This window comes from Homo sapiens, chromosome 12 (genome assembly GCF_000001405.40).
Source record: "Homo sapiens chromosome 12, GRCh38.p14 Primary Assembly".
In the NCBI taxonomy this organism is placed as follows: Eukaryota; Metazoa; Chordata; class Mammalia; order Primates; family Hominidae; genus Homo; species Homo sapiens.
Window position 1 is genome coordinate 99,652,228 of NC_000012.12, and position 27,038 is coordinate 99,679,265.

The 27,038-nt window shown below is 33.8% G+C and overlaps 1 protein-coding gene across 22 annotated transcripts in view, besides 1 other annotated feature; it reads right to left on the reverse strand.

The window, feature by feature from the left end:
- The window catches only part of ANKS1B (ankyrin repeat and sterile alpha motif domain containing 1B), a 1,250,151-nt gene that overhangs the window by 917,442 nt on the left and 305,671 nt on the right, over window positions 1-27,038 (reverse strand). For 21 of the 22 annotated variants that reach the window (XM_006719514.5, XM_006719507.5, NM_152788.4 and 18 more), the window contains one exon: window positions 2,840-2,983. In XM_006719514.5, the coding sequence (XP_006719577.1) occupies window positions 2,840-2,983 (144 nt within the window). Of the gene's footprint in view, window positions 1-2,839; window positions 2,984-14,996; window positions 15,013-27,038 lie in introns of those variants that run through there. The other variant, XM_047429167.1, reaches the window with a different exon arrangement.
- Window positions 18,328-18,860: an enhancer, noted in NCBI's record as "OCT4-NANOG hESC enhancer chr12:100064333-100064865 (GRCh37/hg19 assembly coordinates)". NCBI's record gives its function as "activates a minimal SCP1, AML or CMV promoter by ChIP-STARR-seq in primed H9 embryonic stem cells {active_cell/tissue: H9 hESC(primed)}" and the evidence as "EXISTENCE:reporter gene assay evidence [ECO:0000049][PMID:30033119]".

The window sequence follows — 27,038 nt, forward strand, 5'->3', positions numbered from 1 at the left end:
TTTGGGAAGCCGAGGCGGGCAGATCACTTGAGGCCAGGAGTTTGAGATGAGATTGGCCAATATTGTGAAATGCCGTCTCTACTAAAAACACAAAAATTAGCCAAGCATAGTGGCGCACCCCTGTAATCCCAGCTACTCAGGAAGCTGAGGCAGGAGAATCGCTTGAACCAGGGAGGCAGAGGTTGCAGTGATCCAAGATCGTACCACTGCACTCCAGCCTGGGAAACAGAGCGAGACTCCATCTGAAAAAAAAAGAAAAATTTATAGTGAGAGAAACATTAGTAAAATAGTCTTATTGCTGGTTTGTTAGATTAAATTCAGTTAAAAAAAAACACCCAAAACCTGTATCTCAAGTACATTTATAGATTTAATGCAGTAAAAATTAAAATCCCAATAGAGATACTTTTTAAACTCAACATAGTACTTACAAAATACAGATTTTATAAAGCAAGCAATCAAGTCAGCTGCTAGTTTTAATTTAATAATGGATAATACCAACACTGAGTCATGTGGTTTAAAAAATAGGAAGGCAGAAATAAACAAGCCTTCAGAAGTAAAACCAAAACAAAAGGATAAAAACGAGAGGAATATGAGTTATTGTTCAATGGAAAGTCATAGGAAAACTAGATATCAACAAGCAAAAAATAATATAGAGCCATAATTGAAATTTATGTTAAAAGGAGTTCTAAATAAGATGAATTAAATGAAAAATAGGATTGAGAAGCTTAATCAACTGGATAGTTTTTTTAAATTACATGATGCACTTGTACACATACAAATTAAGACAAAAAGAAAAGCTGCAGACTGGGAAAGATTTTGTGGTAAATGTAACTAGAACATCTGAGGAATTAATAAACTTATTGAACAATACCAGTCTTCACCAAGGAAATGGCCAAAGGTAAAGCAAACCTAATATTAAAAATTGTAGACCAAAAGCAAGGTACTACCAAGCCTAAAAAATAATAAAATCAAATTTAGAAAAAAGCAAATGTTAGTAAGGTGGTAGAAAATCAGATACAATCATATTACTGACAGCTTTTTGATTTGCAGTCATCTGGCTAATATAGTAAATACCCTGATTATTTTATTTCAGTAATTATTTTTAAGATATAAGGCAAAGTAATGATTAGGAAATGTATTTTTACAAATGCAGTTTTATGAGGGGAAAATAGGTTAAAACATTTAATTATTGATAAACTGCTAAGCAGTTAAGGGTAAGCTAATAAAATACAACTTATGCTTGTTAATTTTCTTTCCCTTTACCCATGTAGATATGAGGTAAAAAACTATATGTAAAAACTTTAAGTGAAGACATGACACCCTAGAATATACACATTTGTTCACTGAGATTCATTCAACTATTACTTCATTCCAATTATTTTTTTTTGTTTTACATCCATCAGATTTTGCTTGATAAAGAAGACATTTTTTTCTCTTCCTTTCTTTCTTTCTTTTTTTTTTTTTTTTTTTGAGACAGAGTCTCACTCTATCATAACCCAGGCTGGAATGCAGTGGTATGATCACAGCTCAATGCAGCCTCAACCTCCCATCTCAGCCTCCTGAGTAGCTAGGGCTATGGGTGTGTACTACCACACCTGGCTTATTTTTGTATTTTTTGTAGAGACAAGGTCTCACTATGTTGCCCAGGCTGGTCTTGAACTTCTGGGCTCAAGCAATCCACCCTCCTCGGCCTCCCACAGTGCTGAGATTACAGGTGTGAGATACCACATCGAACCCATTCTTCTGATTTGCCAGGAACTACGCGTTAGACTGCAGATGCTGAGCATCAAAAGGTTGAATCTCTACCTTTATGGAGCTCACAGTTTAGTATGTATTTACAACAATTCTGTAAAGGTTACAGTAAACTGTCTTAAAGTCCTATGAAGAGATTTTTTAAGTACTATATACTGATTTGAATATCCTACTTAGCTTTCTACAACAAATTAATATTGAAATTTGAGGGGCTATGATCAAATTATGATACAGACATGTGGAAGACGTGATGGTTTCTTAGACATAATTGTTTCGTATTTGTCGTGACAGAAGGGAAAATATCTTTGAGATGTAACACTTTTCTGGATAAGTACTGTGATTTATCTTCTGTCCTGGACTGCTTTTTCCACCCACGTTCTATGTAATTAACCTCTTAACATTATACCCTTTCATATTAAGTTCTTTGCTTATTGTGCAGAGATATTTTCACCATGGCTTCAAATTTCCTATCTCTGGAATATTTTAGTCATTTCTGAAACTCCTCTAAGAGTGTATGGTTCACAACCCACAACAGGAACCTGAAGGTGATACTACAGATTTAAAGTAGTCTTAATGATAGTGAAATGACTTGAAACTAATAGTCAATATTTTAGTGTTCTGGTTTCATTTTTGGATTTTATTCCAAAACCTCCAGAAGTACACATTCCCATTATTCTACAATGCTCCATTGTGATGTGAAAAATATAATCACTGGCTATGCTTTTAAACAGCCATAATATGTTTCCTTATATCTGTAGACAACTTTTACTTTTTAAAAATAGCATTCTTTAAACTGATATATTTCTGGATTCAAAATATTAAAACCTCATAAACAAGATAACTTTTCTGCATTATAACCAAACTAAATAATACTAATTTTTTACATAAATTATGTCTTCGCATATGTACACATATGCACACCAAGTTATATGCACATTTTACTTGACACTTTGAGAAAAACCACAAGATCCAAAATCACAAAGTGAACAAGATCCTAATTTGATTTTCGAAGGGGAGGGAGATTTTATCTTAAAAACATAGGCAACCATTTTTGTTTTATTGTACCTTAATAAAAGCAAACTTTTACCTGGGCAAGCATGGGGAAGCCAAGGTTCCTACATCCATTACACGGAGTTAATGCTTCCCAAAGTCCTGATGGCCCACACGTATTTTCATCATCATCCTCTTCTTCCACTTCTCCTGGTGACAAATTGATTGTAGATGAGGTTCTCTGAAATTAAATTTATATCATACCAATATATTATATCAATGATATTTAGATATCTTAACATCAATTAAATTCTATAAATGACAGTGGTATATCTCGGCAAACAAGTCAGCTCACTTTTAGCCACAGTTACATGGCTGTGCCCTGTGCCTGAGATAAAAATATGTATAGTCCAACTTAAGTTAAAAGTGAAAAAAACTAGGTGTGAAAGACTTATAAAATAATATATGAAGTTCATAATGAAGAATAGAACATGATAATGGCCTAATAAAATATTTGAATAGCAACAAATGAGAAAAATCTTATGGTTTATCAAGAATTTAGGTTTAGGCATAAAATTAAGGAAAAATGCAGTTAGGGCACTAACAGGAAAATATTTTATTGAAATGGGAACTCCTGATAAACCAGTTTGTTCAGAATGCCACTGAAATAAAACTTTATAAACTTTCATATCATACATATAACAGGAGTAACAGTTTTAAAATTCATAATGAGACTTCCATATTTAGCACATATATTTTCCTTCGTTATCTCCCAAATCTCACTAAAATGATGGTAGAACATTTATAAAAATGTTTACACCATAAAAATAAGGATGACAGGAGAGATGAACAGACAATATTAAGAAAACTTCTGGATAATGTTGAGTAACTTTTGGATAACAGATGGGTATTACCTGACTTAGCAAACATGAGAACACTGAAAGCAAAGAACCTTCATGTGGAAAGAATTGGAGGGACTGGCTACCTGTGAAGGTGTAAGTGTAGGTGGGGCAGAAACAGACTGAAACTCAGTATCAGAAAGAATTATACCCCTAGACCCATCTCCTTTTCACCCAGCCAGGAAACTAAATCTTTACCACTGGCAAGAAATTAGAGGTTTAATTTTTGAAGAAGTTGAAGCAAAAGGATTATGAATTCTAAGACTACAGATATACTGAGTCTCCAAAAACAAGAGAATTAATATCTATATAGTAATGAAGATTCATAACCTACCCCGTGCCTTACCATATTTGCATTAGACAACATGGCAGCACGGTTTATATTCCCAGATAAACAACTAGAATACTCCTCCCTGTAGAAACAGACCTCCTAAGAAAAAAGGTCTATAAATAAGCAGGAAAATGGTGGGATCTATGTATCAATCTCTACTGTGAAGCCAACCTCTCAACAAGTTCCACTCACAAGAATCATATATTTGAGAAAAACCTCTTAACAGACACCAAAATAAATATAGAGAAAAAAGTTATAAATAGTATCCTCAGAGAGAAGATATTTATAGCCATGAAACAAGAACAGAAAGTTACAAAATACATAAAATCCAATACAAGAGTAAGAAAAATCTGAGAAAATTTCCCAAAAGATGAACAGAATTTAAAAGTGGAGAAAACTAGGGGTCAAACCAAGACCTCTAACATCTGAACAAAAGGAGCTCCAAAAATTAAGAGTAGAGATGGGAGGGTCAAAGAAATAAAGCATGAAAATTTGCAGAAACTGAGGAAAAACTTCACTCTAAGAGCCTGCTGAATACTTAGCAGACTCAATTTAAAAAAAAAGATGTATATGCATAAATAAAAAGAAATACACTAAATTGTCTAAAGGTCCTCTGAATGTAGCGTTCAGCACAACATTGATAGATCATGATTACTAAAGCAAGTAAATATATTCTACATATTGGATTGTAAATAGCATCCTCCCCCCAAAATTGTTCCTTTTAAAAATAGAATATAAGATTTTATTTTTCCTCCTATTTAAAAGAATTTGTTTTCTGCATTCACATTTTAACTTCCCCTTGATCACTTGTCAGTAACTAAGAAGCAATGAAATTAAGTTGTCCCCCAATCAGTTGCTGTCTATAAAATACAATAATAATAACAACTGTTAGACTGAGAACTTACTATGTGACTTGGAGTATCACTGGCCTATTGTCTGTTAACTATTTTAATTCACACAACAGCCATTTGAGGCAAATATTTTTCCTCTCACTTTATAAATGAGGAAACTAAGGGACAGAGAGGCCAAGTAAAACCCAAGGTCACGAAGCTGGCAAGTGGCAGAAAAAGGATTCTAACCCAGACTAGGGGGCTGCAAAACCTACTCTCCCCTCACCACTACATTCTGTGACCACTCCTTTGGTACAATAACCTGTGGAAGACAATATACTGAAAAACCACACTGATGTAAATAATTGCAGTTTAAATAAAAGAGGTATATTTGGTGAATACGTTTCTGTTACACGAGTAAAGTCCTGAGAGCATTTTGCCTTCTGTGACAGGGAGTGAAAATTTCTGCAATTTGATACATAGCAGCCCATGCTTTCATAAATACACACTTCTCAAATCAATAATAGAAGGTGATTATCACAGGGATTTTTGACCCTACAGATCCTTTGAGTAAAATAAAAAATCTTGGGAAATTTAAAATCTTAATCTGAAAGAGTATATATATATATATGATAAAGTTGTTCACAGGAATAAATAAAATGATCAAAAAGGTATCTCCTTTACCAGCTCATGATCAGCTAACAGTTTGACCATCAACATTGATGCGGCACATACTATAAACCACCTCATAGTTGGCCAAGAATTATCAACATTTTAGATTAATCCATTCTTTTCTATTTTGTTAATGGTGCTACAATGATTTAATCCAATCACACAGGGAACTTCCTCTATCTCTTTCTCCTCCCTCAAAAAAAAAAAAAAAAAAAAAAAAAGCTTATCTCTCTTCCCTGCTCATAAAGCTCCAATTACTTCCCATTTCACAGCAAATGATATCCAAATTCCTTAATCTGGCTTCAGAGTTCTATAGTCAAATGATTTTTTAGCCCTTTTACTTTTTCACTATACTCACCTCAGATTATAACCAGGTGGAATTGTTTACCCTTGCCTAATCATGCTCTATGCTTTTATTCTTTCTTTCACCTTACTTGTCTGCACAGCGTATTGTAGTGGTTAAGGGCTTGGGCTCTAAAATTAGACAGTCCTGAATTCAAGTTCCAAATACCCGCCTCACTAGCCGTATGATTTTCAGCAGATAAGACCATTGTCAGCCTCTCTTGCCTTATCTATGCAATGGAAAACAATACAGTGGAACCTCTCTCAGGGCTTTTTCCTGATGACTAAATGAGGTAATAAATATAAAGTGCCTGACACATACAGCTTCAATAAGTATTAACTATCATGTTTATTATTTTCTTATAATCCCACTGATTCAAAATAGAGTTCAGATTTCATCCCTTACCTAAAATTTTCCAGATTTCCCACAAGCATGCATGATATCATGTTCTTCTGCTTGTCTCTCTTTGTGCAAATGTTTGCATTTGGTATTTCACATTCACCTTGAGTTGATAGATGCTATAGTGGCAAAGAGCATTGGCTTTTAACTCAAACAGATATATGTTTAAATCCTAGCTCTACCACTTCCAAGCTTTGTGATTTTGAGCAAATCACATAATCTTATTAATCCTTAGTTTCCCTATCTGAAAAAATAGTGTAATCATTTCCACTTGCAGGGCTGTATGAAGATCAAATTAATTGCTTGACAGAGACTGGCACATAAAAAATCAATAAGTACTGCTATTTTATTTTTTACCATAAAAGAGTTGTGTACACACACACAGTGTGCTTGTGCAAATATACTACACAGACACAAGTGTGGCTTATTTACCCTTGTGAAGTAAGTTATTTGAAAGAAAACATTGCCTTATTCACATTGTATCTCCTACAATGTGTTGTGCATAATGAAACAATAAATATTTATTGAATGAATCACTGAATAAATGAGCTTCAAATTATTATTTTCATTTGACTACCTAGAAAATTTTACTAATATTAAGGGGTGTGTATAATTGTATCACAAATATCAAGATTGCCATTTTAGCTTTATTTTATATTAACTATTACAAGTAGCTTTGCAGAAATGAAGAAACTTATCAGTGGTTTAGCACTGCCCCCTAAAGACAGCATATAAATTGGCTGTGTAAAACCATAATTTTTAACTTCATTTCTTTACAGTTAAAGATTTGAAGGAAAATATTTTATCAAGCTACATATAATCTTCAATTATATATGGGAAGAAGCCAGCGGAACACACTTAACCTCAGATGGTTTCATTTATTCCAAATGCTGTTCAAACTTTTTACTGGAGAACAAACTCTGTTCCTGAAGTTCCAGAAAGATGTGAAAATTCTACTATAAAAAAAAATAGACCTAAATCTATACAGTTTGAACCCATTAGCTTTCTTGGTTATTACACGGTAATAAAGAAAGACTGGACCAATTCTATGTTGTTGCAAATTGAAAAACAGTCACAATAATATACTGTAGGGAGACAAACTTGAGCTCAATCAAAGAAAAACACTTTTGAGAATAATTATATTAGTCTAACATTGAAGAAATGGGATTTCCCTGTGAGGCAGTGTGTGTTCGTGTGTGTTTGTGTGTCTGTGTGTGTGCATGTGTGTATGTGTAAATTATATGACAACTATATATAACGGTGCTTCATAATTTATAAAATGCTTTCAGATAGAGAATAGCCCAATAAAATAGAGTAAGAATTATCCCTATTTTACAAGTGAAAAAAACTGATGCTCAAAATGTTACTCGATTTGCAAGATCATACTACAAATCAGTCCAGATTATAATCCAAGCCCTCTAAATCTAGGTCCTATTGTCTTTCTACCACACCATGGAAGCCACCTCCTTAATTACTAGAACTCTTCAAGGGGACAACAAATGTTCAAGATTGTCAATGCAAAGGGACCAGGCCAAAAGGCAGAATCCAGGAAAGAGGCAATATCAGAGATGGCAATCAAAGCAAAAGGCAACAATCTGGAATGAGTTAGCAATCTAGACTACTTTATAGCATTGCCACACGCCTTTTTGCCTTTGTTTAGTTCTAAAGTAAAATTGCTTTATAGATTTTTCAATGAAATTTAAAGTAATACATGCTTATTGTAAAACAAATCATTCATAATGAAAAATTATACATGAAAGAGTGAAGCTTTCCTAGCCTCGGTCCCACATTCAGTGGGTGTACTTCCAGACTTTGTAATACTTACTCTACTTGCCTGATGACTTTCTCACGATAAATTCATAAATGAGAAATTGTATACACCAAAGAGTATGCCTACCTTTATCTTTCTTTTTCTTTTTCTTTTTTTTTTTTTTTTTTGAGGTGGAGTCTCACTCTGTTGTCCAGGCTGCAGTGCAGTGGCACAATCTCTGCTCACTGCAGCCTCCACCTCCCAGGTTCAAGTGATTCTCCTGCCTCAGCCTCCCAAGTAGCTGGGATTAGAGGTGCCCACCATCACACCTAATTTTTTGTATTTTTTTAGTAGAGATGGGGTTTCACCATGTTGGCCAAGCTGGTCTTGAACTCCTGACTTCAGGTGATCCACCTGCCTTGGCCTCCCAATGTGCTGAGATTACAAGCATGGGCCACCGTGCCTGGCCTAAACTTTCTAAGTATTGCCAATGTTGTCTTTAACCTGTTCACAGTGATCAGAGAAATGTTTTTTCATATGAGAATGTGATCATGTTTTCCTCTTCCTTAAAACCTTCAATAGCTTTTCATGTTCTTCTGATAAAGTTCAAAATTCTTAATATGATCCAAAAGGCTATGCATGATCTGCCCCTACCTCCCTCTGTATCCCACCACTAATCTGGCAGGCCAGGTCTCACTAACAGCTGAACAGGAAGGCCTCCATGACAACTGTTTCAGCACTGACTGAGTGGTTAAATTAAATATTTAAAGCTGATAGAGCCAGTGCCCTTATACGAAGGCTGGAATGTAACGAAAGCCCACCAAGAGTTTTGCCTAGGCCTTTCCAGGGCCTTGAAGCATGATGAAATAACAAAGGAATTCTTAACAGAACCCGTTTAGTATTAAACAGGTTTTACTGGGGGTCTGAAGGAACTCCCCAGACCTCCACAAACAAGTTTTATTGAGGTCTAAAGGAACTCCCAAATCTTCATGATTTAGCAGGAGACAAGATAAGCGTAATCACCCCTGGCACCTGGATCCATCTAGATTGAGTAAATTTACTGAAGCTCCAGAGGAAGGTCTTCAGGACTCAGACCTTAGGTATAGATGAGAAGAAGTTAATCACTTATGTCTTTAGATGAATGCACACTTACATGTAGACATACAGCTTAGAAGGTATATAAGCTCTGGAAAACTTTGTAATTTTGAGTTGGTCTGGCAATATTTTCCCTGGCCTTCTCCCTGTACCCGTTTACAGAAGTAAATTCTCTTCTTTCCCAGTTGGTCTGCATCTTGTTATTGGACCATGAGAATAAGCAACCCGACCCTTGGTTTGGTCCAGGAACACTAACACTATTCCTCTCCTTTGCCCATAATGTTTAAACACACTGAGCTTCCCTCTTTCCCTCAAGTATACCAAACTTCCTCTTGCCTCGTACCTTACCTTAGCACATGTGGTTTTCTCTGGCAAAGACTATTAGTCATCTCCCAATATACAGTCCCCCCTCCTCCTTTTGTCTTTAGTAACACCTTCTTTTATTCTTGTATGGTACTAATACTCCAACTTTTAGCTGGGCACATGTATTCTTTGAATAAATACCACATTGTCCAGTGTCTGTTGCAGCTAGGTGTGACCACATGGCTAAGTCATAACCATGGGATATAAGAAGTGCTCTTGAAGTGAATAGGTGTGCCCTTCTTCCTCCCCTTCCTCTTCCTGCTGATTGAATGCTAATGAAATAGCTGGAGCTGGAGCATTTGTCCTGGGCCATGAAGTATCCTTGGAACTAGAGGACCTGCACAATGGAACAACAAAATAGAAGAATCCTGGGTTCCTCATAGAGGTGATCCCTACCAGCCTTGGACTGCCTAGCTCTAAGCTTTAGAAGTGGGAGTAAAACAAACTCTTTCTCTTTAAGCCATTATTATTATTTTAGATGTTTTTGTTATTTGCTATTGTGTCAAACCCTAACAAATAAATTCCTTTGCTTGTCTTCATCAGGATTAATCTTATTGGTGCTTTAGGTATAAATATAATTCACTTCCTTTGGAAGGCCTTCTTGATGCTCTCATCAAGATTAATTTCCTTTCTTATATGCCTTCACAGTATCCTGCTTTTCTAATAGCAATTATCACAATGATAATTTTATAGTTACTGTGTGACTTTGGTTCAGTATCTCCTATCCTTAGTCCATAAAAGCTGCATGATTGCAGAGATGCCTGTTGGGTTAGCTACCAAAGCCTGATACTTGGCTAGTACATTGAATAACAGTTTATCACATATGTGTTGAAAATGAATGAAGAGTAAATGAATGAATGAATGCCAGCTTGCCCTCATAGATGTTTTATTAGTGTGAACATTTTCACTAGTTCTAAGAGGAACCAATGTAACTATAACCCAGATTTTAATGTCCTTTGTTCTCTAACTCCATTTGCTCCCACTGTCTTCCTTCCATATTCAAAATAATGTAGAAAACAGCATCTATTTGATTTCATGAAAGAATACATTTATGACAACCATTGGTGCACAATTTACATTTTACCACAAACTCTATAGCGGAGGTGAATGGGCTTTAAATTGCACAGCTTAACTCCTCCCCCTCCCCTATCAATATTTTTCTCCTTATAGTAATAATTGGGTAGAAGGGTGCTTTTCATCTCCCCTTCCACCAAGAAGAATAGAATTCTTGGTGTCTATTTTTGCCTGCAGACTGTTTTCATTAGCTCTTTAAATTCTTCTCCTCTTTATTATGCAAGCAATTTCACACTAGGATACATCTTATCTGCAAATTTGCATAGCCAATCTCATTACACAAGAGATCTTACATGAGAACTATTATTTTGTCAATTTAAAAGGCAACAACTATGTAATAGCATGATATATCATATTTTCCTTTTTACAATCTTTTAAAACCGGGGATCTAAGGGCTTAATGGGGCACTAAGAAGAAAACGTGAGGTGTTAAGCTGGTTTACTTATTCCAAAGCTATGATAGTATTAATGATCAGATAGATGATAGGTCAGTGATCATATTACTCACAAAGGAACAGACTCAACCATCTTAAATTTAGTCCTGGGAGAGATATCACATGCCACAGTTGAATATATTAGCAATGATCAGAAAACCTACTGTTAAAGCCACAGTTGAACATATTAGCTATGATCAGAAACCCTACTGTTAAATACGTTTCTATAAGCTTAGTAACACTAAACATCTGTTCAAAATTTTCTGAAAATTACCTTGCAAGGCTACCCTACACTACCTTTCACCACAACCATTTGTTCCATGTTAGTAAAATTCACAAAAGCTGCAACATTTAAGTCTGCTGAAAAATAAAATTTCTCTAAGATTAATTTGGAGTTAGCTGTGAATCCTGTACTGCATTTATATCTGCAAGGAAAAGAAAGGAAGAAGAAAAACAAGTCTTGATGCCAATGAGTACACTGAGTACATCTCCTAGTATCTGCACTCTGAAATGACGTTACTATGTATGGTGATATTTTAAACTTGAGGATTTGCCAGTGCCAAATGTATTTCACATTTATTGAAGGACAGAATTGCTATTAAAGCAATTGTTTTAGTTGCAAGAAATATTGAACAAGAAAGTAAGGATAGTCTTTCTCTTTTTAATAGTACATGAGACATTACAATTCCTCTGAAACGCTTAGTTCCAACACATTATGTTCCTGCCTGCTGTTTACATATTTGACATCCTTTGCATAACATCAGGAAACTTCAAAGAACATATTTTGTTTGCTATTCTACTTATATACAATCAATTTGAACGTTTTTATTATCTCTCAAAACTTTTGTTCATTTATCTGACCCTTACCTAGTAATTAATACTGTTTATTATTTCAATATTAGAAAGAGCTAAGTCTAAACTGATGCCAATTTTATGCACAATACGCAGAAGCTAATTTCAAAAAAAAATGTTAAAGTCACCTTAGAAAGTTTAAACTTTTTTTTTTTCAACAAGACAGTACAGAAGGCAAAATGTATAACTTTGGGAAAACTAAATTATCCTCCATGACAGATCATTTTATATGAACAAATAACATTTTTCTAAAAGTTTACTTCTTTGTTTTAAAATAAAATTCATTAAAGTCTTATTTATATACCTAACATGAACCCATTTTATATATTTATTTTTTGTATTGGTACAAATCTTTAATAGAATTTTTATTTAAATAGGGGATTCTTATGTTACTTTAATGCAAAATAGAAAGAAAACAAATGAAATTTTATATAAAAATTAAAAACCTAAGAGTAAAAAGGTAGATGTATGTAGAATCCTCCACAGTCAGCGTACAGTATGGCATTTTCAAAAAGCTGAGGGAAAAGGAGCAAGAAACTGAGAAGGAAGCAAAGGAGAAGAAAGGGGAGAGTAAAGAAAGAAAGAAAAGATGACATGCACCCATTTTAAATGTACATACCTGTGCATTCACCACCACAATCAAGATACAGAACATTTCCATCACCGCAAAAGGTTACCTTGAATCCCTTTCCTATCAATATTTCCCTACTGGTAGCCCCAGAAATCTTTTTTCTGCCACAATATAGTAGCATATACACTTTATGTTTGGCATAAGTTTTCTGTAAAGCTTATTAACACTAAACATCTGTTTAAAATTTTCTGAAAATTACCTTGCAAGGCTACCCTGCACTATCTTTTCACCACAACCATTTGTTCCACGTTAGTAAAATTCACTCAGCCTAATGTTTTTGAGATTCATTCCTACTTTTGCATATCAGTAGTTTATTCCTTTTTAATCCAAAGTAATATTCCATTGTATGGCTATACCAAAGTTTTGTTTATACATTCATCTATTTATGGGCATTTGGTTGTTTTCAGCTTGCGGCCATTACGAATAAAGTCGCCATTAACATTCACATTAAAATCTGTGAGTGCCCATAAGTTTTTGTTTCTCTTGGGTAAATATCGAAAATGCTAGGTCACACGGTAAATGCATCAAACTTTTTAAGAAACTGCTAAAGTGTTTTCCAAAGTGTTTGTACCATTTTACATTCCCATTCATTGTGTCGGAGAGTTTCGGTAGCTCCACATTCTTGGCAACACTTAATTTTAGTTATTCTAATGGGTATGCATGTAGAGTTATCGCAATAGTATGTAGTTATCAAATGGTATGTAGAATTATCACAATAATAGTACTTTTAATATACATTTCTGCCAGTGCTACTAATGTGCTAAATATCTTCTCCTGTGCTTAGAGGCCATTTACCTTCTTCTTTGGTGAAGTACCTTTACACATTTTTATTAGGTTGTTCGACTTCTTTTTTTTTTTTTAGACGGAGTATCACTCTGTTGCCCAGGCTGGATGGAGTGCAGTGGCACCATCTCGGCTCACTGCAAGCTCTGCCTCCCAGGCTCACGCCATTCTCCTGCCTCAGCCTCCCAAGTAGCTGGGACTACAGGCGCCCACCACCACGCCCGGCTAATTTTTTGTATTTTTAGTAGAGACGGGGTTTCACCGTGTTAACCAGGATGGTCTCGATCTCCTGACCTTGTGATCCGCCCGCCTCAGCCTCCCAAAGTGCTGCGATTACAACCTTAGCGTGAGCCAAGTTTCTTTGACTTCTTATTGCTGTGTTGTAAGAGTATTCTTTTTAAATATTCTATATTCTAGACATACCTCCTTTGTACTGTTGGTGAATATATAAGAAATCTTTGCCTAACACAAAGTTAAGATATTTTCCTATATTTTCTTCCATAAGTTTAAGATTTTTGCTTTTACATTTTGATCTTTGTTCTATATTGAGTTAATTTTCATGTACAGCATGAGGTAAAGGTTGAGATTTAAGAAACCTATTTTTTTAATATATAAGTAGAAGTAGTCAGCCCCATTACTTGAAAAGATTATCCTTTCCCCATTGAAGTGCCCTGCAGTTTTTTTGAAAATCAATTGACCATACGTGTATGGGTTTATTTCTGAATTCTACTTTGTTCTATTGACCTGTAAATCTCTTCTTATGTGAATACCACATTGATAGACGTTTATAAGCCTGGAATCAGAGAAACCTCCAAATTTGTTCTTCTTTGAAATTATTTTGGCTATTCTATGTTCTCTGCCTTTGCATATAAATTTTAGAGTAAGCTGTCAATAGCTGAAAAATTAGCCTGCTTGGATTCTGCTTGGGATTGTAGTCCATAGTACAATTTGGGGAGAACAAATATCTAAACCACATTGTCCTTCATTTCATGAACATGATGGTATATCCCCGTAGGTATTAGGTTTTCTTTAATTTCCATCAACAATATTTTTATAGTCTTCAGTGTACAGGTCTTGCCCATATCCTGTTAAATTTGTAGGGGTAAATTTGTAGGGGTGGTATATCTTTGCACGTATTAGGTTTTCTTTAATTTCCATCAACAATATTTTTATAGTCTTCAGTGTACAGGTCTTGCACATATCTTGTTAAATATGAAGGGGTAAACACACGTTTCGTGTTTCTGGAAAATCTTTCAAATGGTATTATTAGGTTAATTTAATTTTCTTTTCCCTCTAGCACTATTGGGGCATAATTGACAAACAAAACTGTACATATTTAAGGTGTATGGCATATTATTTTGCTATATGTATAATTGTGAATTACCACAATCAAGCCAATTAACATCTCCATCACGTCATATAGTTACTATGGGGTGTGTGTGTGTGTGTGTGTGTGTGTGTGTGTGTGTGTGGTGAGGACACTTAGAATCAACTCTCTTAGCAAATTTCAAGTATACAATGTGATGTTATTAACTATAGTTACCATGCTATGCATTTGATCTCCAGAATTTATTCATCTTATAACTGAAAATTTGTAACCAAACTTCAAATTTGTACCAAATTTTAAAATTGAATTTTCAGCTGAGTGCAGTGGTTCATGCCTAGAATCCCAGCACTTTGGGAGGTCAAGGCAGATGGATCACTTGAGGTAAGGAGTTCGAGACAAGCCTGGCCAACATGATGAAACTCTGTCTCTACTAAAAATACAAAAAAGTTTAGCCAGGTGTGGTGGCACGCACCTGTAGTTCCAGCTACTCGGGAGGCTGAGGCAGGAGAATCACTTGAGCCCGGGAGGCGGAGGTTGCAGTGAGCCGAGATCATGCCACCACACTCCAGTCTGGGTGACAGAGCGAGACTCTGTCTCAAAAAAAAAGAAAAGAAAAGAAAAGAAAAGAAAACCCTGAATTTTCAGTTACTGATAGTTCCTCATGTAAAAAAAAAATTTGATTTTTATGTTTATTTACTTTGCATCTTGCACACATTTTAGGTCTAGTTGCTTTCCTATAGATATTTTAGGATTTTCTATGTAAATGATCATATCACCTGTGAATAAAGAGTTTTACTTTTCTCTTTAAAATCTTTATGCCTTTATTTTCTAGCCCTTGTCTTACTGCACTGGCCAGAATTGCCAGTACAATGTTGAATACAAATCTTAAGTGAAAAGCATTCAGCCTTTCAACATTATGAAGTATAATGTTAGTTAGCTGTGGCATTTTTGTAAAGGCTTTTTATTATAAGGTTGAGCAAATTATTCCTATTCTCAGTTTACTAAAAGTTTGTATCATGAATAGATGCTTTTCTACAATGACTGATATGATCATAAGGTTTTCTTCCTTTATTCTGTTAATGTGGTAAAATATATTAATTGATTTTATCTGTTAAAATAACCTTGCCTTTCTGGCATATATCCCACTTGGTTGTAATGCAAAATTTTTAAGTGTATGCCGGACTTGATTTGTTACTATTTTATTGAGGATTTTGTTACTGTGTTTATGAGTGATATTGATCTATAGTTTTCCATTTGTGAAATGTCTTTGTTATCACAGTAATGCTGACTTCATATAATAAATTGGGAACAACCCTTATCTTTTATTTTCTAAAAGGATTTCACCAGTAAACCACCTCTATGTAAAGTTTCCTTGTGGGGAAGAATTTCATTATGATTTAAGCTTCCTTAACATAGGATTATTTAGATTTTATATTTCTTCTTGAGTTACTTTTCCTAATTTAGGTCTTTCAAATAATTCTTCCATTTCATCTAGGTTGTCAGTTATTGCTACAAAGTTATTCATATTGTTCCTTTATTATTCTATTCATTCTCCTGGATCTTTATTCATATCCCCTCCCTTTTATTTCTATTGGCTGTTTATATTCTATTTTACTGATATTGATTTTAATCATTCTCACTTTGGGTTTAATTTCCTCTTTTATCTCATTTTTTTTAAATGTGGAAGCTTAGGTCTTTCATTTAAGACCTTTCTCCTTTTCCTATATAAGAACTGAATTCTATGAGACTCCTAAGCACTGCACTAGCTTTACCTACAAAGTTTAATATTCTTGGTTCTTATTTGCATTTAGTTAAAAATATTTTCTAAGTTTCTTTGTGACTTTAGCAACTAGATTATGATGTATCTTTGTCTAGTTTTCTTTGTTTTTGTCATGCTTTGCATTTGTTGAGCTTCTTGGGTTGGTGTTTTCATTCAAGTTAGAAATTTTTCAGCCATTGTTTTTGTTATTTTTTTTTGTTATTCTTTCATTCCTAACCCCTCCTCTCCTTCTGAATCTCCAATTACACATATGTTTCATTGCATGATATTTTTTCACAGGCTCTGTTATTTATTTTAGTCATTTTTTTCTCTGTATTTTATTTTGGCTACTTTCATTTGCAATATTTTCCATTTCACCAATCGTTCCTTCTGCAATGACAGTCTGCTGTTTATTGCATCTACTTTATTTTTCATTTCAGATACTGTCTTTTTCATCTCTAGATGTTTCCTTTGAACTCTTTTATATCTACATTTCTCTATTCATGTCACCTCTTCCTTTAAACCTTTGAGTATATCAAGCATATTTATAGCAAATATTTTATTCTCTCATATACAAATTCTATCAAATCTGTAATTCCAGGCCTATTTTTATTGACTAATTTTTTGCATGTTCATGACTTTCATTTTCCTTATTTTCATGTGTAGTAATTTTTTTAAGAGAAGGCTTCTCACTCTGTCACCTAGGCTGGAGTGCAGTCATACAATCATAGCTCACTGCAGCCTTGACTTCTTGCACTCAAATGATCTTCTTGCCTCAGCCTCCTGAGTAGCTGGGACTACAGGAATGTCCCACCACACTTGGCTCTGAGTGTAGTTGTATTTCTTTAAAAATTACTGGACATCGTTGTGGCATAGAGTAAAGTTATCTGGAGATCAGTTTAATTCATTCAAGGCTTGCTTTTACTTTTTTTTTTTAGGTGGGTCTACAGTAACCTTTACTCTGGAGCTAACTTAACCCCACTGTTAAGACTTACGTTCCCTCTGGAATGTCTAGTGAATGTGCCATGTATTAAGCATGATCCCTCTACTTGGGCTGGTAGTTACTTGAATGATTGTTGGCCTTGTGTGAGCTCCAGGGATTTTTCTGTTTATGTATCTCCAGTATTGTTCTTTCTTTGGAGGTTTTTCTTTTTCTGTCTTCATGAAGTTTCACTCTTGTGCAGATTGATATTCAACTGAAGATACAAAGATAACTTTAGGTTGTTTTCTGGACCTCTTTTTTGGTATAGTACCCTCTTTTCTGTTCCTCTGCCTGAAAATTCTAGCTGACTCAGCCTTCCCCAACTCTAGTTTCTGTACTTTCAACTCAGAGGATTACTTGACCCTGTTTCTGTTTTTCTACCTGGCACCATATTTAGGAATTGGATTCAGGCAAAAAGCTGGGTGATGGTAGGGTTTGCCTCCTTTGTATCTTTTCTATTAGGGATCACAGTCCTGTCTTTTATCCAGGTCTGATCATGAATGTTTGACATATTTTTGTCCAGTATTCAGCAGTTTTCAGAAGGAGCCACTCCATACCCTATTACCTCATGGAAGTTTGACAAAACCTTTAAAGGTTTGACAAAAACACTTTTTAAAAGAAGACGTGTATTATTCATATCTGTTTCTCCATTTTAGACCTTTCTTCACTTCTTACCGGCTAAATAATCCCATTTCCTCTATTTTGTACAAATCCCTCAAACATATTAATATTCTCTTCCTCCACACTGTTAACTGCACATTTATCACATAAAGTTAGTCTTTTCTTTCCATCATCATGCTTGTCTTGCCAATTTCCTAATTCATAATAAATAGATGGTCCTAGGAAAACAATCTCACCTGTAATATGAGAGTTATTCAATTAATTTTTTGCATCAGTGAATACACATACCTTTTACAACCAACCTGAACTTCCTGTGTGCATAATTTCATTGCTACTTAACTTAATTAAAAAATTATTGTTTATGCCCAATATTTCAAATAAATTTATTTAAATTTATTAAATATTTATTGATTAAAAACTACTGTCTACAAGGCTGAACTCTAGGATGAGGGAAGAAAAATATAAGTATGTCATAAACTCTGAACTCAAGGTGTAAAGACACATATCTATACATAACTAGACAGTAAAACTAGACCAAAATTATAAGCATTACAGAGATACTAAAACAAGGTATTAGAAAACATAAAGAGGAAGCAACCAGGGCAAGTAGAGGAGAGAATTCACAGAGTGTTTGCATTTGAGCAAAAGCACCTCATGAGATAAGAATTCTGACAGAGAAAAGGGGAGATGGGAATGAGGCACAGAGTTTGCATGATTAAGGCAGTATGAATGTGCTTGCTGTGTCTGGCAAATGAGCTATTAGGAAAGGCATGGTGGGGAGATGGTACATGAAAAATAAATCAGGGCTCTATTATGTAAAACTGATAGTTTAAAACAAGTTCAACATTAGTCAAGGCACAATTTTCTACTTCTTATTCTACTGAGATCAAAAAATAGAAAGCTTCTACGTATTAGATACAAAAGGATTCAGAGACTGTTTCTCTTCTCTAAATTCCCATAATTCAGATGTTTGGACAACTCAATCTATTGTTTTGAACTATTTTCTGGAGATTGCATGAAGTATATCTTATCTCTGTAATTGCAAGAACAATATTTTCTATTATTTGTGTATCCTGCAAGATGACTAGCACAGTTCAGGGCACATCATGTGTATATACGTTTTGATTAGACAACTCTTGCTCTTTCACATGTTCTATTTTGTCCTTAGATGACTATAAAATAGAAATGCTTTCAGTGCTGATGTTTACGTAAATATGTACTTGTATGCATGTGTGTGTGTATATTGGACTGAAACAGAAATTAATAGGCATGTTTGATCAAAAAAATGTGAAGAAGTCTCTCAACAGCCCCGCAATCAAAAGATAAACACCCCCATTATTAAATAGCAATATTTTATCCTTTTCAATATACAACATATATTCCCTGTCTTTTCTCATCTTTATATTGTATACATATTATTTCTATCATATTTTAAGCCATTTTCTGGGAAAGCAGTTGTTCAGTTACATGAAAGTAAAATTTGGGAGAAAAAGTATATAATTAAAATGTATATTAACTAAGTCATGATAAATCATCAAAACTTAGGACTGAAGCATTTTATATTGAAAATAAAATGAATATAAATTAGACATTAAGTCTGTTAGATCAGAAGTCTGTTAGAACTGACTAACTCTAGTTCACGACACTAAATCAAGGTAGCAGAAATAAAGTAGTATGTGGTACTACTCCAGATATTGCCAAATTTAAAATGCTTCTTTTGTATGCTCAATAGCATTCAGTAAATTTTTTTTGGTTGAAAAATTTATTAATTAACGCTAGCCAAAGAAAATAAAACCTGATGTTTTCTCCCCCACCCCAAATAATCTTTAATAAACATATTAACAATGCTGAGTGATTTTAAAACTCTTTTCTTTTTTGAGATAAAATTTTTTAAGTGGAAAAGAATTTTTCAGATGTACCAAGACAAGTTCAAAAACATGGCAATATCCTTCAACCTATGCAACATTCTCACCATCTTGTCAGCATTTAATTAAATCTCCCTGACCCAGGTTCAAATGCCAGAATTGGAATACCTGAACCACATCCTATCTAGCCAAGGCATTAAACCCATGCTGGATAAGTCTTCTGTCTGAGATAATGAAGTAGGAGGTACCCAGGACAATCAAAGACATCAGCAACTTCTGACTTACCAGGTTTACTGTTAATTCATTCCCCATTTCTTCACTTTGATCTTCCTAATGGTGAACTAATTTCATCTTCAAGAAAAGGAATTTTTCTACTCTTCATCTATGGATTTCCATATCTGAAAATCCCTTTCAAATACACGTAACTCTGACCAAACAGAACTACTCCAAACATATCTGACCCTGTGCCACTAAATCTGTCAGTTACAACATCACCAGGGAATGCCATCCTGTCATTGCATAAAGACAAAACCTCTTCCTGTGGCAGCCTGCAGCTAATAACTGGTTGAAGAAGTGCAGCTACCTCCTCCAAACTGAGAACAATTCTGAAAGGTCACCCCAGCTTCTGAGTTCCTGTGATGTTGGTCAAGCAGAAACAGATCATTCAGTGGACAGCACCTACAGAAACCTTCTCCAGTAAGGTGTGAATCCCAACCTTAGGGAGAGGTGCTCTCTTCCATGATTGTCCTTCCTTGGATACTCTCCCCCAGCCATAGAATACCTTTATAGTTTGTTTTACATATTTATAGTTACTCTCCTATCATAGTTTAATAATCTTTGGTGTTAAACTTTCTTGGGAAACTTCAACACAGAAATATAAGCAGGAAATGATAAGAAAAGAAAAGGCTAATGTTGAGCCAAAGACACAATAAAACTGGTTGAAATAAGAAAAGAATACATTATGAAATTTAAACTATTTTGTCTCTAAAAGCCAAACTGATTTTACATAAAATCAAATTAGTGTTTTGGTGGCCAAATTGGAGACATTCACCAAAATCCATACCCTCAAAAAGGTCAGAAAACATGGTGTATCAAAGAAATCAAGAACACTGATCTATTCTAAGACCATATAATCTTAGGTGAAAAAGCCTGAGCAGAGAATACAAACGAAATAATCAAAAATATAATAGAAGAAAACTTTCCAGAATCAAGAAAGATGAGGTATACAACAAATGCCTGGAAGAACTGGAAAATAATCATATCAAGACATACTCAGGCAAAATCTTTTAATTCCAAGGAAAAAGAATAACCTATCCAAGCTTCCAGAATGAACACTCAGATTGCCTACTGTACTAGCCAGGATTCTTAGAGGCAAATAATAGAAACTGACTCTGTTAAGTAAATCAGATACTTTGTTTTTACATCCCAAACATCCAGAAAACAAAGAAAATTTAAAAATCCTGAAGTCCACCATATCTATGCCAAGAAGAAAAAATATTATGTTGACCTTATATTTTTGGAACATATGCAATATAAACAATAGTATAAGCATTATATGACATAAAATGTCAACAGACTACTCAAGGTACAAGGTTATAACTCAAGAATTTTATACCAAGAAAAGTTACTGGTTATGTTTAAAAGCAAGACAGATAATGCAGTCCTCATGAATAATTCTTGAGATAATACATTTATCCTATTTGAAAATAAATTACAACTTGCCAAGAGACAAATTAAGGAATCAAAAAGGTGCAACATGTCATATAAAGTATAATTCATGAATATTGAAATAAATTAAATACAAAGTTTTAAGCATAACAATATTTATTAATATAATTATAGAATATGGTTATTAATATGGTCATTATTTTCAGTGAAACAATTACATATTTATAGAACTCAAGATCAGCTCAAAATTATAATTTAGAAGGGTAAAGTATGGCAACTAGTTACAAGATTAATATAAAAATCAACAGTCTTTCTATTTATAAGCAAAGACTTCTAGAATATACAACAGGAAAAGAACATGAGTCAAAAAATTTAAAAATCAAAAATTAAAACAACTAACAATAACCTTAAATAAGAAACGTTGGTGCCCTAGGGAAATAAAACTAATTATGAAATAAAGAAATACATGTCAAGAGACAAAGGAAAATTAATTTAAATGGAGAAAAATGTCATAATAATGTTTGAGAAAGCTGAACTTTTCAAAGATGGCAAATCTTCCTCAAATAAAAGTGTATTGGGGATTATAATAATTTATGGATGCTTTATATAAGTTATACATAAAGTGAGGGCTGAAACTTTGTCATATTTTATTATATCTAAGACTAGAACTGTACATAACACACATTTGTTTAACAATAAATACTTTCCAATAAATGGTTAAAGTAATAAATTAATCCTAGCTGGACCTGCAAGGAAAGATGGCAATATGAATTTAAAAACCGCTATAAAATAAAAGAAAGAAGAGAAGAGCTAAGGAAATGTATGACAAAGAATATAAGTACTATGAAAAGTAAAACACTACAGGACTTGTGCAAGAATAATAGAGTAAATAGTTCTAGTTCAGAACTGAATATATAATCTTTATTATAAAAACACATGAAAAAGAAGCACCAAAGTTTATAAAAAATAAGTGGATTACTCAATAAACTATGATGGGAAATGAGTTTATGTGTCTGAAAACAAAACATGCGAATTGAAGTCTTCTGTGGGAAAAAATAGGCATTTTCTTTTAAAGGCATTTCTACTATAAATAGTAGTAAATATAATAGAAGAAATGATTTATAGACTTCATTTCATTAAAAAAATTAACCCCTGTATTTGAACATTAATACTAAAATTCTAAAACACGTGAAAACTTTGGAAAATTATTTACAATAAATACAACAAAATAATAATATCCTTAATATGCAAAGACTCTATATACCAGTAAGAAAAATAGCACGGTAAATGAAAAGCATACAAAAGACTTGAAAAGATCATTTTAAAAGTAGTACAATTGACCACTGATCATACAAAATATGTTTAACTACTTTAGTATTTATAGCAATTAAAACTCAAATAGCAAGGAGATAACATGTTTTATCAATCAAACTGGCATGTTTTCAAACCATAATGTTTGGTGAGGGGCTTTGCATTGGGAATGTAAATTAACAAAAATATTTTGAAGGATAAGTTGGTAGTATGTGTAAAGAATCTTTAAAAAGTTTCTTCTCTTTCAGAAATTCCACTTCTAGTTATCTATACTAAGAGAATAAATGTTATATGTATGTGTAATGATATTCATTATTCCATTGATATAAAAGCAAATAATTGAAAACACTTAATATTTAACTGAAAAACACTGTTAAATAAATTAGAGTATATCTATGTAAGAAAATATTTAAAGATCTTTAAAATCATATTCTCAGAAAATATTTAGTAATATGAAAAATTGTCATTTTATTATTTTAATATGTTGCACTGTTTTAAAAAGTAGTATAATAAACCCTAGGAGGATAAATTCCAGTTTTAAATGTTTTTTAATAAAATTTATCTTTAAATAGTGAAATAATGGCCTATTTAAATTTTTTAATACTTTTCTGAATTTTGCAAACTTTCAATGATCAATTCAGAATGCTTTTATAATCAAATATTACTGATGTTATATGTGTCAATGAAGTTATTTCACCTCTACCAATCTAACCCAAAAAAAGGTAGATGTGCACAAAGATTTTTTACTCAAGGATATTTATCATCATATTATATATAATAAAATAAATGTATAAACAATCTAAATGTTTAACCATAGAAAATAATTAAATTGTGCTACCTCTGTGTGTATACTTTTATATATTAGGATATTATTACTATAAGTAAAATTTCATAAAATGTTATTGGCATGGGAAAATTTTCATGAAAATTAAGAAATAAAATGCACAGCATGATTCTGTTTCATTTTTATAGTGACTTGTGATAGGGTTTGGCTTTGTCCCCACTCAAATCTCATCTTGAATTGTACTACCTGTAATCCCCACATGTCTTTGGAGGGACCCAGTGGGAGGTAATTGACTCATGGGGGCAGATACCCTCATGCAGTTTTTTGTGATAGTGAGTGAGTTCTGATGGTTTCATAAGGGGTTTTTCCCCCTTTGCTTGGCACTTCTCCTTCCTGCTGCCATGTGAAGAAGGACATGTTTGCTTCCCCTTCTGCCATTGTTTTAAGTTTCCTGAGGCTTCCCCAGCCCTGTGGAACTGTGAGTCAATTAAACCTCTTTTCATCATAAACTACCCAGTCTTGGGTATGTCTTGATAGCATTGTGAGCATAGACTAATACACTCGCATATATAAAAACTAAGATAAAATATATTAAAACACATCTCTGTATGACAGGTGAATTTTCATTATTCATACATATCCTATTTTCCAAATTGTCTATAATAAGAAAAAACAAGCTTTTTAAAGAAAAATGGAAGATTATTCCTCCATTTAGAATCCCATAATACTAAGTGATTTGTTGAAATGTTCATCAGAATGCAGAGGCAATCCTAAGAATTTAACTGCAAATTACAGAATTTTCCTATCTTCACACTTTCTAATTGCCAAATAATTTATAAAAATAAGTAGGACTTAATTTCATGACATGTATTAAAATAAATAAAGTAAATGGTTTTCAATTTGAAATATTCCATTAAGTCTTTTCTAACTTGAGCTTATGAAATGCATGCTTGCTTCTTGTTTCTTTTTAGGCCTTTGCTTCCAGAAATGTTAAAATAACATGATTACTAAATATATCTCCAAGTTTCATACAGCTACTGTGAAGTCAAAATCTGGAAAACAAGTAGAAAAGTGGAGTACTTACTGTTGGCAAGAACTACCACAGATCCCTAAGACTATTGTTCTATAAATGTTAAATTATAAAGTGATACAAATAAATTAGATTTTAAAAGGGAGGAATGGAGTAGGAAGAAGGAGAATGTGTTGTGAGACACAGTAGAACACACAGGAAGAGTTGAGGTATATATCTTTATTCTTACTGACATATATCCCAAATAAATGAAAGCAAACTCAATATTTCATGTATTCAGATTAATAACACCTATTTCTAATTTTAATGTAATAGGTTCTTTAACAAAAAGTTTTCAAAATATTTCAAAGGGCTTATAAAAGTGAATCTTTAGCTTTCTTCTAAGTACACTTTTGCGCTCCTACATCTTTCATAGCCTAGACCTAATTTCTAGTTTCTGGCCTCATCTCCGTTTCTAGGTCCTGCTCCACAGAGGTGTGATCAGGAGGGCCATGCACCATTACAAAATTGACATGACTTAGATCTTAAAAGCAGTACCACTTGCCCCTCCTCCAAACTGTTTGTTTTTTTATTTTTTTGTTTTTTTTCCTTAAGGCTGCTCAAGAAAGTAGCAAATAATATAGCCTAAATAATATATGATTTGTTGAGGACTTTTTTGGAGGAGAGGAAAGGGATGTGATTATTTAAAACTGCACAAGTGGGAAACAATTTCCAAATGCTTTTCAGAAAATATCTTGTAATTAGATTCTCTTTTAAAACTACTAGGACTTTGAAGTAAAATAATGTCTGCTGCTGAGAACACTGTTGAATTGCAGTTAACTCCTACTAGTGATCAAAATGACCCAGTCAAATCTCCAGCTGCTTATGTAATTCTGAATAAATTCTCCATTTTTTAAGAAGGATACACCAAAGAAATAAAGTTCAGTTTGTAGTGGCTCACGCCTGTAATCCCAGCACTTTGGGAGGCTGAGGCTGGCAGATCACGAGGTCAGGAGATCGAGACCAGCCTGGCTAACACCATGAAACCCTGTCTCTACTAAAAATACAAAAAATTAGCCGGGCGTGGTGGCACGCGCCTGTAGTCCCAGCTACTCGGGAGGCTGAGGCTGGAGAATCTCTTGAATGTGGGAGGTGGCGGTTGCAGTGAGCTGAGACTGCACCACTGCATTCCAGCATGGACAACAGAGCAAGACTCCGTCTCAAAAAAAAATTTTTTTTCAGTTAAAAGATACCCACTAAAACAACTCTGTCTTGGCAAAAATTGCAACACTTCAATAAGGGAGAATATTTGGCATGCTCCATTCATTACTCTGTTGTGGTGTACCTTACGAGAGACAACCAAATAAGATAGAACAAAATCTATGTTGAGAACTTACTGTTCTACTTAACACAGGAGTGGAGTACATACTGTTACCAAGAACTGCCACAGAGCCCTAAGACTATAGTTCTATAAATGTTAAATTACAAAATGATACAAATCGTTTTCATGATTCCAGGAAGATGGCAGCCTGTGTCTGTATTCTCTATTCCTTCTCCTTCCTAAGTCCCTGGTGTGGCTACTTTTCCTAGAAAATAACTAAGTGTACTCTTGGAGGCTAGAAAGAACCTGGAATCATCTGAGATTTTAAGTCCTAAAAATGAAGATATAATTCTGGCCTAAAACTTACTGGACAGTGGTCAGAACCCCTTCTAGGCTAACTTCTCCTACATAACTTGGAACAAATGTCACAGATTCCCGGATAACCACAAGCAAGGAGAGAAAATTCTCCTACCTGTTTACTAAGAGAGCCCAAGTGTCCCTTTACACTGTAGTGTTGGGCTAAGTACAATCCATCCCTGGGCTAAGTACAATCCATCCCTGATTGCACCAAACTTAAAAAAAAATCTCTTTTTCTAAGCCTAAATTTCACTAAAAGCACTCTGGAGCTAAACACTCCCATTTAATTATTTATTGTTGTTTAATTACCATTTTCTTAGAGACTCCAAAACCTGAGCAGTACAGGTGTTGACAGATCCCATGTCCAATAATATGAATGCCCATTAATATGAACAATAAGGATCAACAAACCATTTTATGAGACAGTGGCTTAAAAGAAGAAAACTTAGATGATCAACAAGAGTAGTAGAGGTAAAAATAACAGAGGACACACAAAAAAATGGGGAAAAATGTACTATAATCTCTTATAAATATGAAATTAGAATGTGTAAAAACAGTGTCTAGAACTAAAAGAAAGAACTCTTGAATTTTAAAGTTCAGTTGAGAAAATGAAAACGTCACTGAAGAAAAGTAATTTTGTGTTTTAGAAAATCAAGTGAAGAAAACAGAATAAAAATGAACCCTGATAGGTATCAAGTACAGATTAAACATTTGTAAGTTGGTGAATAATGGGATAAAAACAAATGAAGATGTGATCAAAGAAATAATAAACAAAAGCTCTCCTCATCTGAAGTTACACTCAGATTAAAAGAGCTCACTTGTTAAATAATTTAAATG